The following is a 15482-nucleotide window of genomic DNA, read 5'->3' as shown; positions in this document are numbered from 1 at the left end:
TGGGCAGTGAAAAACTCTGAAGTCGGTGCATTTTGTCTTGGTATTTTTTTTACCCTTTGCCCTAATGACCCTGGGGTGCTCCTTCTCACTTTCTTCTACCCAGAGCTGCTGGTCTGCACCATTTGTAAAAAATATTGAAATATGTCTATCTTAGTTGGTAAATAGTAGTTTCCCTGAGCACTTTCCCTCATTTCCACTCTAATGGCTCTGGCCATGTGGCCCCTCTCTGCCCTGGGAACCAACGAGGAGCCTCCTACTTTTGCCCTGACAGGTAGGTACCTTTGTGATATAGGAATTTTTTCCATGCCTCTACCTATTTCCTATACAAGGTGCACTGGTTCCCCACAACCCCCAACCGTGCTCTTCTCCACTCTTCCTTCTTTGTAATCCATTAGAGGAGAGGTCTTACTCTTGTCACTGACTCTGGATAACTCTGTGTATGTTGGTTTCTAGGACTCTTCTCCTTTGTGAGGCTGGGAAGGGTAGCATATGTTCTAAGCGTCACTCCTCCTTATGGGATACTCTTACCCCTACTTCCTCACTCACAGTAGAGAGTTCAGACCAGTTTTGGCTCCAGGGGCTAACTGGGAAGAATTGGGGACCAAGGAAAGTAAAAATGGAAGAAGAAACCAGAATGCTTAGAGTGACTTTACAAATTCACCATGCTACCCTTTGCTCTTTTGCCATCATCTAGTCCCTTTGTCCTCTCCTTCACCCAGTAGTGAATGCCTCTGAAGAGGAGTGCTGAGTCACAAAACACCAGAGTAAATAGTGTTACATTTTTCTGGGCTGGAACATGAACCACACAGTTTTAAGCCCCCTGTCCTCTGTGTGTGTATGTGTGTGCCATATCTTGTATTGAATCTTTATCCATTTGCTTTGACAGTGGATTGAGGGGAAAAACACTGAGCTTAGGTTCAGACTGCCTCAGTGTTTGGTGATAAGCTCTGAATGTCCACTCTAGAACCAATAGCCAGTCAGTTAATGGGGATAATAACTTACCTCAGTATGGAGCTAACCCTCAAACAGAGAACTTTTATGAATCTGAAACTCAGCCAAACACTAATGCTTCTTTTTAGCTCCCCCAACTCTTCTCAGGACTTTCATAAAATCAGGAGGTAGGATTTTTGAGGGTTAATTTAGGTGGCCATGGAAATTCTCAGCATATCAGCCATGTCACCAACACTAATGTGCCTGTTCTTCCCACTAAGGTGTTTACACTCAGAACAAGTAGCCATAGAGGCAGTAAACAAATAGGAACCTGGCTTATTTTATAGTTCTGCACCCCCTAGGCCCTGTTAATTTTGGCATCTGTTAGCCAAGGCTGGGATTACTTTAACTAAATTGTGAAACTAGGCTCTAGAAAGCAGTGGCTATAAGAGATAGACCAGGATCCAGAACATAAAACAGTGAGTCAGAAGCCAGGAATAAAGGGGAAGAAACAAGATAAACAATGGGTTTAACTTAGAACTCAACGGGCAGTGGAAGACCAAGATGGAGTAATGAGCCATGTCTAAGCCAGATAGTGGGAGCCAATGATTAGGAAGAAACTAGAAGTCAAGCCAGGGCTGGGGATTCAAACCAGCTAAGCTGGCAGGGTAGGGGAAGCATATAACAGGGATGGTGAAAACAAGAGAAACCTCGAAGCAGTCATAGCTTCCCACAGAAGGGAGCTTTCTTGTTTTCACAAGAACCATAGGCTTTCTTCCCAAGACACAGCCAGCCTAGAGTCTGGAGTATAAAGGCTACCAACTCCATATACCTGGGTGTTCTTGACACTGGCTTCCCAGAACACGAGCAGTTATAGCCTAATTGTTCAAAGGCCATTAAAACTACCTGATGTTTGTTTTGAAGATTTCCATTTGTTATCTACAATAAGACTTTCCATTCAACAAGTAGGGATAAACTTTTGAAAAATGATCATGGGACCAAAAGAAGGTATGCAGAGAGACAAGGTATTTTGTCTGCTGGGTTGTTTAGGGACCTTTTGCCATTACTACAAAAGACTCTCTTCTTGAGATAGAGCTGGGAGGAATGGACTAGGCTCTCTGGAGGTGAAAATTCCTTTGACAAAGAGAATCCATGGAGGAAAGGAAGGGAATGTCTGGATTGGGCCAAGGTGAGTGAGGCTGTCACCTTGTTCACCTCAGGCACACAATTTAATTGGATGTCCGAAAGTTCAGTAATCCTTTTTACCAGGAAGAAAGGAGGTGAGGATGCTAAATAATGAAATATGGCCACATTAAGCTTTCTGATGATCTCATATTTAAAAAGGAGGAAACAAAGACCCCTAGGAAGTGGCTAAATAATATATAATATTTTACATATGATATAATATTTAACAGGGGTGACAAAAGAGTTTCATGAATCCTAGAATGAGTCAAAATTAGTTTTTAAAAATGCTTAATTTTAATTACTTTTAAAGCTATGTTCAAATGAAGAAAAAAGAAGTGATAGTCTGACAACCCCCTGTTTGAGGCAGATGGTTTACTGATAACAGGGGAATATAAATTCCTTCTCTATCAAGGAAAAGAAGTCATAAACTTGTTTCAAAGGGAATTGAAGCCCAAAGGATCTGAGGTTGTAAGAGAGTACTTTACTGCTCTGAATTCTTTCATGCTATAGATATTGAGCCCCTCTTCTGTGCCAACCAGCTCTACTTTCATAAGGATTCTAGTCTAACAGAACTTAAGTATGATGTTATTTAAAAATATATACATCCCAGAGCACTGAAATAATTCTATGATGTCCCAAGTGGAATTGCTCTAGGTCATCTTGACAGAATTATGGGTTCCAGGAGATCTGTGAGAAGACTACACATAGGAAAATGTACCAGTTTTCAAAGCAGAAAATAATATGTTCTAGAAAGTAGAAATCAACAATAAAGTATTAATGAACTAGCATTTATTGAGTGCTTCTATGATTCTGTTCTAAGAACTTTACACTTATTAACTCAATTTAATCCTCACAACAAACCTATGAGGTAGGTACTATTATTATATTATTTCCATGTTAAGGATATGTAAAGTGAGACCTAGATAAGTTATATAATTTTCCCAAGGTGAAATAGCTAATGAGTGATAGAGCCAGGAATTACATTCAGATACGCTGGCTCCAGATTCCACATTGGTAATATTTATGTCATTATTACCATTGAGCTTGTCAAAATTCTGTACTTGATTATTAAACAGCCTGTGAACATTTAGAAAGAGATACAGTGGCCACAGGGGTCATCTTTGGCTTTCTGAGAACAAGTCATATCCTATAAAACTCAGTTTCTATTTTGCCAGTAACTTAATTAGTTAATAGGAGGATTGCACAGGACAGAGAGTGTCCTCCTGCATTTCAGATTTTCCCATGGTTTCCTTGCAGACAGAAGTCATATGGAGTGATAGATAAAACATAAAGTTTGTAATCAGACAATTCTGGGCTCAAATCCTGATTTCAACACTCGCTAACTATATGATTTCAAGCAAGTGACTTTTTCCTTCTTGTACCTCCATTATATCAGTTGTGAATGGTGAGAATAACTATTCTACAGGATTGTCATGAAGATTAAATGGAATCAATGCATATAAAATGCCTGATAGAGTGCCTGGTACTCATTAATCTCATCTTACCCAACCTCCAACAAAGAAATAGACAGCCTTATAAAGTAGTGAGGTCCCCATCACTAGATGTACCCAAATATGGGCTAGATTATTATGTGCCAAAGATAGTATAGTAAACATTGAAACACTGATCTCTCTCCATGAGCATGTGGCCTCACCACTAAGTTCTCATCCAACTGTTAAGATTCCCTTAATTCCCAGTCAATTATGCAACAATGTGCCTGTTTTGTACATTGGGAATTGGGATTGACTAATCCACTCAGAACAGCTTAAACAACTTATGCAGCTTGTAGCTTGTTTCAGAGAGAGAGAGAGAGAGAGAGAGAGAAAAGGAGAGCAAGAGAGTACGTGGGCATGTGTGAAGGTACCTTTAAAATGGCAATTATAGTGTGTGGGAAAGTCACCAGTGGCTTCTAATTATGTGACCCCTTCTTTAATTTTTGCTGTCACCACTCTTTTAACTTTTCTTCCAAAAAATCCAGATAAGACTCTGTTCTTTTTCTTCGTATTATCTATACTGTCAGTCTCTGCTCCTCTGTGTTTCATTGAATTTTTATTTTAGTTTTTGATGTGTTTTATTATTTTCTTCGTGATATAATTATTTGGGAAATTATTTTGATGCTTTGAGGGGATTTTTTTCTCTTTGACTATTTACTGTGGAAAGGAGCAGATCCGCTTTTCCTGCACCCTCTGTCCTATTGTGCCAGTCTGGCCATGTTCTGTTGTCCCTTGTGTCATAACTGTTCTTTATTCCTGTTGCTTTCACCATATTCAAGGGGATCAGAACTAAACAACGTGTAATGATGTTGGGCAGAAGACTTCTGTTCAGGGAAGTTTCTGCATTTGGACAATTTCTTCTTGCACTGAAGGGTCAGACTTGGAGGATGAGCTATTTGGGACAGCTTATAAATCCAATAATAGCAACAGAGATGGGGCTGGAGCAGAAAGAAGAAGGGGATTTGAAACCAGAACTCCTGAGTACTTAACTTTACTCTGTCTCTTAACTAACTTTTCTAACCATTGGCCAGTTCTTTAACTTTGTCCTTATTTTCCTCAGTGTCAAATCAGGCTGATGATAGAAGTCATCTCAAGAGGCTTTGGGAGAGAACCACCTGAGGTAGTGGGGAACAGTGGAGTATGGGGTTAAGAGCATGGGTGCTAGGGCCAGACTAGAAGGCAATCTCCTTTCGCCCATGAGCTATATGACCTTGGGCAAACTTTCTGTGCTTATAATTATGCCCTTGTTTGCAAAATGAGAATGACAGTGTATCTACAAGGAAGGGAAGTTGTGAGGGTTAAATGAGACAATGCAGATGTAGTACCTGGCACATAGTAGGTACTTAGTGAATGTTGGCTATTAATACTATTACTATATATGCAGTGTTACTAATAATTCATTCAGTACTTTTTTATTTAGAGGCAATATAGCACATTGTAAACAAAAGCAGAGATTTTAGAGCTGGACAGCCTGAACCCAAAGCCAAGCTCTGCCATTTAGTAGCTTTTATTCCTGGAAAAATTTCTGTTTTTTCTTCCAATTTTTATTTTAGCTTTAGGGGGTGCATATTCAAATTTGTTACGTAGGTAAATTGCATGTTGCCGGGTTTTGGTACACAAATGATTTCATCACGCAGGTAATGAACATAGTACCAATAGGTGGTTTTTTATTCCCACCCTCCTCCCACCTTCCACCCTCAAGTAAACCCCAGTGTCTGTTGTTTCCTTCTTTGTGTCCCTGTGTACTCAATATTTAGCTCCCTCTTGTAAGCGAGAACATGCGGTATTTGGTTTTCTGTTCCTGTGTTAATTTGCTTAGGATAATGGCCTCCAGTTCCATCCATGTTGTTGCAAAAGGCATGATTTCATTTATTTTGATGGCTTTGTGGCATTTTATGGTGTATATGTACCACATTTTCTTTATCCAGTCTATCATTGATCATCATTTAGGCTGACTCCGTGTATTTGCTACTGTGAAAAGTGCTGCAGTGAACATACGCGTGCATGTGTCTTTGTGGTAGAACGATTTATATTCCTTTGGGTACATACCCGATAATGGGATTGCTGGGTCAAAAGGTAGTTCTTTTTTAAGTTATTTAAGAAATATCCAAACTGCTTTCTATCATGGCTGTACTAATTTACATTCCCACCAGCAGTGTATAAGCATTCTATTCCTGAGAAAGCTTCTTAGCTGCTCTATGTCTATAGTTCCTCATCAGATGGGGTTATAACAGTACCTACATTGGAGGATTATTTAGGTTAATAAATGCAGAGCATTTAGGACAGTACATGGTACATAATATATGCTATTTAAGGGGTCACTGTTGCTATTATTGTTGTTCTTATTATTTTGATGTAATTATTAAGCATGCATTCTAGGATGCTGGAATATAGTAGTGAGCGAAATAAATCCAGTCCAAACCCCATGTACCTTCCCTAGGATCTGGAGAGAAAAGGCTAGAGAAGAGTAACTAGGGTCCCCTCTATAAAGGGGCAGGGAGGACCTTATTTACAAACAAGTGAAGCAGGCTACAATCCTGAACAGTTACATTCCCCAGATTGCAGCATCTGTCATTTGTAGAGAATATCCTGCAATGTCTTACTAAGGAGGAACTAGCTCCCTTAATGTCTCCCAATTCAGACGAGCACAAGGAAAAAGGAGGAAGGCTGGCATTTTATTGGAAATGATAAACTTCATTAGGCAGGAAAGTTGTGATGATCCAAATAGCATCTGTTTTGAGCACCTGCTCACCGTGTCCCTGTGAAGGCACTCAGACTACCATTAACAAGTGGCATATGGGCAGCCTGGTTCCAACAAGACCACAGGCAACCAGGGTTCAAGAGGACTTTGTCCCCTTGCCATGTGCAGAGGACAACCAGAGGAAACTCTGGGGCTTTGTCAGCTGCTCTTCTCTGGACAATCCCTAAGTGAAGCAAGACCAAAGAAGATAGAGTGCTGGGCACAGCCTTTAATGGGCAGGCAAACTAAAAGCTGTGAGCAGCATGGTGGCTAAGTGCCAAGTGTGTGGTATGTCAGGGCCTTCACAATTGGTGTCAGAATTTGGAGAAGGGGAGCCACATCAGCTTGAGCAGTCAGAGAAAGTTTATTTCAGGAATAAGAATGTGTAAGTTTGACCTCGAAGGCTAAGATTGGAATAGGAAGCATAGTTGGGCCAGAGAGCAGCTATTAGTGTGACCCCAAATATATATCTGTTATTTTGGTGACAAATACCACCCTGTCCTGAAAGGATGTATAGAATTTCCAGGGACAGTGGGGCAGCTATGTAAATTGAAAAAATATTCAGAGTTACCCTTGCTTTGACTTATTTTTACTCACAATATTTAAATTATTTGGAAAGTTTAAATGAGCTAAAGGAGGTAGTGAGATGTTTTTCCTTTAAGTTTATCAAAAGAGGGTTTTAAGGACTATGAAACACTGGCCCAGGAGCAAGAAAGCTCAGGGCTGTATTTGGTGGACAAGTCTGGCCTCATGTCCTGGAAATGACATGTTTATATTAGAGCTTTATAGCTATTTTACAGAGTAAGGATAACTGTCTTCATTTCTTAGTTGAGGAAATTGGGGCTCAGAGAGGTTAACTGGCTTGTCCGTAACCATACAGCTGGTAGGTTAGGCAGCAAGGCATCAAACTCAGGGCTTCAGACTCTACATCATGCTCTTTCTTTTGTTCCATGCTGCTTACTGCTTATAGTCTTAGCTACTCTTTCTGATTGGAGTTCCTCAACTAGTAGGTCATTCTTAATTATTCCTATCACATCTTTACATTTGGCTTATGACAAATCTAGCGCCTGAAAACTCACATTTAACCCTCTGGGGGACCAGGGAGAACAGGCAAAGGGATAATTTTAGTAACACATCTCTCTAGCCCTGTTTCCCCACCACAGAAGCAGAAATTCTCTCTAGCTTCTTGTCATCCTTACATATCTAAAGAAACAATAGGAGATTCAATTGATGCTTTTAATGTAGCTCCAAGATCATGCATATTCTTTCTATTTTTGGGAACTAGCAAATGTGTTGAAAGCTCTCAATGACTATGACACACCAACTCGGAATGGGGGCGGAGCGGAAGGAGGCTGCGGACTGAAGTTAGCAACAAGGAAGTTGAGGCTGCCTGTTTTAGGCAATGTGGTCCGGTGAGAATGTGTGGTTCAGATCTGGCTTTCCAGGTTTGTATGTATTATATTATGTATGGTAAGGCACAATTCAAACCTTTCTGAGATCGAGATAAATTACATTCATACATTCTGCCTAGCTTATCCTGCTTTTGTACTTAGATTAGCCTGATAGGGCCCACTTTTTATACATGTGTCTCAAAAAGTGTTCCTGAGAATTGTGGAACTCAGTGTATGGGAATCACTCTATCCTTTTGGCCAGGATTGAGCTTGTGCACACTGAACATGGTAAAAGGAACCCAGGTTCTGAAATAGGCTTGGGGCAACATTGGCCCTCTCTGTATAGCTGAACTCTTCCTCTCCTGTGAACTTGATCCTGGGGACAACCAATAGATCAGAATCCATCTATATTCTTTTCTTATTTATATGAACAATCATTATGGGAGGAAAAAAGTAACATGATTGTTATTTTTTCAAAAGCAATTCAACGACATCTGTATTTTCCAGCCTGGGCCTTTGAGGTTGACAGAGCTATGCTGGGAAACCTTGCTATGCTGGGAATCCTGCAAGGTAGCCTTTCCCAGCCCAACTGAAAATCTCAGTATACCGCACAATGTGAAGAGTTAGGATTGGGAATGTGAGTGGGCAAAAGAAGATCCTTCATAGGGAGCACACAGCTGAGAAGTGAGTCAAGTTAGGCAATTCAGTAGAATGGAAATGGTTTAATTGAACTGTAAAATGCTAATAAAAATTAATGAGCATTTCTGACTCTGTCCAGCTGACTGAAAGAGCAGATAAAGCAGAGAGGAGGGAGAGCTGGCCCGAAGATATCTGTCAGGACAGGACTCATAGGGGCCTTCCTCAACCTGACTCAGCCATACCACATCTCCCAGCAGTGGATGTGTTCTCAGAGGAGGCTGAGGGCAGCGCCAAGAGGAGGAGGGGCTGAAAGGCCACTCCAAGATATTTATAAGATCTGACATTCCATAGGCCTATATGTCATTTCTTCCATCCCTCTATTTTCCTTTTTAACTTATGAAATATTTGACATTCAAAAAGATATAAAAATAATATAATGAGTACCCACGTGTTTACTATCCGCATTAAGAAATAATTCATTACAAATAGTTTTCCTTCCCACCCTCTCTTCTGCTTCTTTTTCTTCCCCTTCCTCTCTTGCCCCTCCCCGTTTTCTGCTCTGTACTGTCTGGAACGTGGCATATATCATTGTCACTTATTTCTTTATAATTTTCTACATACATATGTATCTTTAAACATTATGTGGCATTTTTTTGTATGTTTTTCAAGGTAACAGATACAGATGAGGTAAAACTATATAGAAAGGAAACCATGGAAATGATGAACATAGGATTTAGGATGGAGGATGCCTTGGAGTTGTAACTTTGGGATTGGTGGCAGATTCACCAGTACTTTATATTATTAAAATAAGTAAGTAAATGAATAAATAGAGAAATAAAAATGCCATGCATGGACCAATTATGAGTGTCTCATGGACTAGGGTTAGGATTAATCCAATTTTGTGTCTATGAGAGCAAAACAACAATAACAAATAGGCGACATACTGTTTGTATCCATCTACAACTTCTGTTTTTCTCCATAAGATTTGTGACATTCATCTGTGTTGATATGTGAACTTCTTTATTTAATTTTACCTCCATTTCTCTTGGCAGACTGGGCCTTTTCTAAAAATCCCCAGAGTGCTAAGTGTTAGACCCCCCCTAGGTAATCCTTTGCCAGCAGTCTGTGGCCTCCTAGCTACTCTTACTACTCAGTCCCCCTCTGATGTTCAGGTCTCACTGGCCTGCACAGATATTTGAACACACTCCAGGCAACCAGCCAGCTCATTTCATACCTCTAGTGGGCTTGCTGATGTTTTCGAAAAGGAGAAGCCCTTGCTAGCCGTGTTTATGTGGCTTACTGTTTCCTACCTCCCATCAGCAGACTTGCACACACGTCCAAGGATTGATTCTGGTGTCTGAAATGATCTTTCGAGGTGAGACAGAGGCTTTTTCTTTGGGCATCTAGTTAACCAACCTGTCAGTGTCAGACTACTAGTATAACCTGGCCAAATTTAGAACAAACCAACCCCCATTGGTACTTCAAAACGGTGACAGTGTTAGCATTCTGCTGTGCCCCTGTGCCAACTCTTCTAGTACTCGCCGTGCACATACCTTCAAGAAACCTCTTCCTTCCCATCTAGGACCTAATCCGGAGAGACATCCTGTACTACAAAGGCCGCATTGACATGGATAAATATGAGGTAGTTGACATTGAGGATGGCAGAGATGATGACTTCAATGTCAGCATGAAGAATGCCTTTAAGCTTCACAACAAGGAGACTGAGGAGATACATCTGTTCTTTGCCAAGAAGCTGGAGGAAAAAATACGCTGGCTCAGGGCTTTCAGAGAAGAGAGGAAAATGGTACAGGAAGATGAAAAAATTGGTAAGTGACCTGAGAGTAGAAAGAAGAACATGGCTATGAAGAACATAGGAGGTTTGAATTGGTTTCCATTTTCTTGGAGTCAGAGGGAAGATTTCTGTTGCAAACTGACTTAAGCTACTTTGGTGGTTCCTTATTATTAGGTTCTTTTTGGTAAGTACCAATAGCTTCCATTAGTCAGTGGTAGGTTTGAACTATAGGTTGTCCTCCCCTACTAGCTAAGAATATCACACTGAAAGCCAGCCTCAGGCTTGATTCTCCCAAACATACATTTATTAGCAAATAAACAAAAATCAGTTATACAACCTGTTCTGTAATCTTCATAAAGCCTGAGCTCTCTGTCATTAGGTATATAGTTTGTACTCCTGATTAGGATACTTCAGATGTTAACTAAATCCCCCTAGACTGTAGATTCAAATAATATGCACATACACTTCACACTTTCTGTGTGGAAGTATTTAAAGTAAATTATAGAAAATATAACAGGACTTAAAACCATGACCATTTTCATGATTTCAAATCACACTGAAACATACTTTTTTGCCTTACAATAAGTTGTTTCTCTTTTCCAGTGGGGATATAGATAGTAGAGATATTTTTCATGTTGCTTCCCAACTGTGGGATTTAGACGCCATTGGCTATAGCTTTGTGACTTATAAAGTACTGTCTGGTCTCTTGCTCATGGTCCTGCCTTTCTGTCATAAAAAATACCAAGCAACCAGACTTGTTAATTCCCTGAGAAGACATACAGTTTCTGTCTTTGCCCTATTGCTTATGGGAGTGAAATTGTACTTTAGAAGGCCTGAAAGCTCAAGTTTATGGAAATTGTCTCTAGAAAAATGGGCCTACTCATTGAATCCTGGTGCAAAAGGGTTCTCTTATCCTTCCATGTGGGCGATTGAAATTATCCAGAGGTAAGAAAGGATGGTCAGAAAGACAAATCTAACTCCAGTCTTCTCCTCAGAACTTGGGTAGAGTGCAAATTAATAACTCACTTTGAGTCTCATTGGAATCAGACTGCTTTCAGTATGTGGACACTCCATTGGGACATGATGTGGAGTGGCATATAAATGTTGCTGGCTACTTCTCTCAATAGCAAGCAGCAGCAGCCACTGACCTTGCCTAGGCTGTTAGAGTTATTAAAGGAATGGTCTTAGTGTTCAGACCCTGAATCAATTAGAAGGCCCCTGCCATTCCCATTGGCTCTAACACAATGTCTCCCACACAATGCCCTAATAAACCTGTGACTTTATCTGCTTCTAATAGAAAAGCTTCTAGAAATTACTTTCTGAACAGGCATATGTTCATCTTTAAAAATGTTGAGGTTTTTTTTTTTTGGTTTGATAATAACAGTAAATCACTTCCATTGTAGGAAATTTAGGGAAAAAGCAACAGAAAAGTACAAGAAAAAAAAAAAACACATGAACATACTCAGTAATAACTTTCATAAACATTTTGATATATATTTCCAGCCTTTTTTATGTGTCTAATTAGAAAAATCAAGGTGACTGAATCTTTTTTCTTTCTCTCCCCATACCTGCCTCTCTATAGTGGATAGATATAATTTTGTATCCTCATTTTCACTCATCATTATATCATTAGCATTTCTATCAGATCACTTCATATTTTTAATCATTATTTTATGAGGGTCATATAGTTTTATCATAGCTTTTTTAAACTTTTACTTTTTAATTATAAAATTAATGCATGACCATTATAACCATTTAAACAAATATGGAAATATATAAAGAAAACTTAGCATTCCTTCCCCTTCTCTGTCACTTCCATACTGAATGAAATAACCAGTGTTAACAGTGCAGTATGCATCTTTCCATACTTATCTCATGTCCATATAAACATATACAAACATAATACTTTTATATTTACAAAAATTATATTATATATATTACCTTGTAGGTTGCTTTTTTAAACTTAATTTATCATAAGTAACTCCCCAGATAAATAATATAGAATCTAACTATAACCCCTTGTATCAGTTAGGGTTCAACCAAAGAGGCATAACCTGTAGGAGATATATCATACCACTGCTGAAAATTGCATTACAAGGAATTGGCTTATGTGATTGTGAATGTTGACTAAGTGGCTCAGAATTCCATAGAGCAGGCAGTCAGAAATGGAGGATCACAGGCAGGCTCAAACCCATGGACATAGGCCAAAGCTGTCATCTACAGGCAGTCAGGAAGAGAAGCTCATGAGAAGGATGAAGTGGCACAGACATGGGCTAAAGCTGTGGTGCACAGGTAGAATTTCTGCCCTTTCTGTGTGAGACCTAGGCTCTACTTTTAAGGTCTTGCAACAGATTCAGTCAGGTCCATCCAGATTATCTAGGATATTGTCCCTTATATAAAGTCAACTGATTAGGGCCTGTATTAGCCCATGTTCACAGTGCTATAAATACCTGAGACTGGGTAATTTATGAAGAAAAGAGGTTTAATTGACTCACAGTTCTGCAGGCTTAACAGGAAGCATCACTGGGAGGCCTCAGGAAATTTAGAATCATAGTAGAAGGCAAAGGGGAAGCAAGCATCTTCTTCACATAGTGGCAGGAGAGAGAGAGAGCAAGAGGGAAGTGCCACATACTTTTAAACCATCAGATCTCGTGAGAACTCACCCACTATCATGAGAACAGCATGGGAGAAATTCCCCCCATGATCCAATCACCTCCCACTAGGCCCCTCCCCCAACACATGGGGATTACCATTCCACATGAGATTTGGGTGGGGACACAGAGCCAAACCGTATCAGGGGCTTTGATTATATCTGTAAAATACCTTCATGGCAACACCTACATTAGTGAGGACTACAGTCTAGTCGAATGGGCACATCAATAAATTCATCACACTTTTCTTATAAACAGCTGTATAACATTCCATAATATTATGTAATAACCACAGTCATCTCTTGGTATGCACGGGATATTGGTTCCAGGACTCCCGTGCATATCAAAATCCATGGATGCTCAAATCCCTTATATAAAATGATATAGTATTTACATATAACCTATGTACATCCTCCATATACTTTCAATCATTTCTAGATTATTTATAATACCTAACACAATGTAAATGCTATGTAAATAATTGTTATACTGTATTGTTTAGGGAATAAAAACAAGGCAAAAATCCATATGTGTTCAGTAAAGAAGCAACCAGCCGCTTTTTTCTGCATATTTTTGATCCACAGTTGATTGAATCCAGATGTGGAACCCATGGTTACAGAGGGCTGACTGTTCGTTTTTTGCTAGACATTCATTTTATATTTAGCTTTATTTCCCACTACAGATATTGCTGCAATAAATATCCATGTACGTATCTGATTGTTACTTACTGATGCTTTTATTCCTGTAGGATCTGTACCCTAAAGTGGAATGACTGAATGTTAGGATGTGAACAGTTTTAATACATACTTGCATATTAAATTCTGAAAGATTTGTAGAATCTATACTCCTAGCATAATTTTATGAGTACCCACTTCCGCATAGCCTCACCAGCACTGGATAGTATCTATTTGTTTCAGTTTGCCATTTCTCAACTAGTAAATTGAAAAAAAGTGTTGGAACCTTTTTTTTTTCATATGCTTAATGGCTATTTTCATTTCTTTTGTGAATTGCCTCATACCCTTTACTCATTCTTTTAACATAAATTTGGAAGGACTCTATATTGTTGATGTGACACTTTGTCAGTCACGAATTTCACGTTTTCACCAGTCTGTTTTTTGTCTTTTGAGTTTGTTTATATTGCCTACTTCTATAAATATTTAAATTTTTACTTTGAAAAATGTATCTATTATTCCTTTTTTGGCCCCTAGTTTCATCTTGCTTAAGATCTCTTGCCATCCAAACTATAAAATTTCCTGATTAAAAATATATTTTTGGTTTATTTTTAGAACAGTAATCCATCCGGAATTTACATTTTTATATGATGTGAGAAAGGGGACCTCATTTTTTTCTTCAAGGTGGATAGTCAGTTGCATCTGCATCATTTATTAAATAAATCATTTATTTTCCACACAGTTTAAATGCCATTTTTCATATATAGTAACTCTGCATATATACTTAGATGTGTTTTTAAACTTTCTATTCTGTTCCACTCTTCTGTTTGTCATTTCTTGTATCAAGACTATGCTGTTTCAATTACAGTAGATTTTGAGAAAGATTTAATGCCTGGTACAATCAATTCTTATTCACTCTTATCATTGCTTCTTAGCAGTTCTTAGATGTTTATTCTTTGATATGAATATCAAATTTATTTATTCTAGGTTTAAAAACACTGCCGTAAAAACTGGCATAGAAAGCCCATTTGGATTCTGATTGGCATTATATTAAATTTTTTAATATGTAACGGCTTGGCATTGTTATTAAGTTTTCACATTTAAGACAAGGCTCTGCTCTCCTTTCATCAAAATCTTGTTCTGTATGCTTCAGGAAAATGGTAGAGTTTTCTTTAGATTCTGTACATTTCTGCCTCTTTGTACATTACTTTTGATAATTTCTATTTTTCTGGGAAATTGTTCATTTCCTCTGGATTTTTAATTTAATGCTATATATCTACACATAATATTTTCTAATTATCATATCTTCCATAATTGTAGTTATCTCTCTTCTTTTGGGTTCATAATATTTCATATATTTTTATTTTCTCACTTTAATCTTTTAATCAGGCTTATCAGGGAGTATTGATCTTTTTTATGTATATATAATCATTATACATATTTTTAAGGTACATGTGATATTTTGATACCTGTATACAATGTGTAATGATCAAATCAGGGTAATTGCGATATTCATCACCTCAAATGCTCATCTTTTCTTTGTGTTGGGAACATTCCAAATATTTTTTTTAGCTATTTTGAGATATACAATAAATTATTATTAACTCTAATTTCCCTACTGTCCTATCACAAACTAAATCTTATTCCTTCTAACTGTGTTTTTGTACCTATTAACCAGCCCCTCTCCATTGACCTGAGCCTTTCTTTCTGAGCCACTGATAATCACCATTCTACTCTCTATCTTTATGAAATCCACCTTTCAGCTCCCATGTATGAGGGAAAATAATCTTATTTCACTTAACATAATATCCTCCAGTTCCATCCATGTTTCTGCAGATGACAGGATTTCATTTTTTTATGGCTGAATAATATAACATCGTGTATATATGCCACATTTCCTTTATACATTAATCCACTGATGGGCATTTAGGTTGATTTCATATTTTGGTTATTGTGAATAATGCTGTGATAAACATGAGAGCATAGATAT

The 15482-nt window shown here is 38.5% G+C and overlaps 1 protein-coding gene across 27 annotated transcripts in view; it reads left to right on the top strand.

Annotated features, from left to right (window-relative positions):
- ARHGEF9 (Cdc42 guanine nucleotide exchange factor 9) overlaps positions 1–15482 on the top strand; it is a 150248-nt gene that overhangs the window by 119517 nt on the left and 15249 nt on the right. For 25 of the 27 annotated variants that reach the window (NM_001173479.2, NM_001353922.2, NM_001353921.2 and 22 more), the window contains one exon: positions 9961–10204. The exons of the other annotated variants lie outside the window; for them this stretch is intronic. In NM_001173479.2, coding sequence (NP_001166950.1) covers positions 9961–10204 — 244 coding nt within the window. The remainder of the gene's footprint in view (positions 1–9960; positions 10205–15482) is intronic. 27 annotated transcript variants of the gene reach the window in all.

The sequence above is a fragment of the Homo sapiens genome, chromosome X (assembly GCF_000001405.40).
Source record: "Homo sapiens chromosome X, GRCh38.p14 Primary Assembly".
In the NCBI taxonomy this organism is placed as follows: domain Eukaryota; kingdom Metazoa; phylum Chordata; class Mammalia; order Primates; family Hominidae; genus Homo; species Homo sapiens.
Note: the sequence above shows the minus strand (reverse complement) of the source record. Positions and strands in the feature narration are given on the sequence as shown.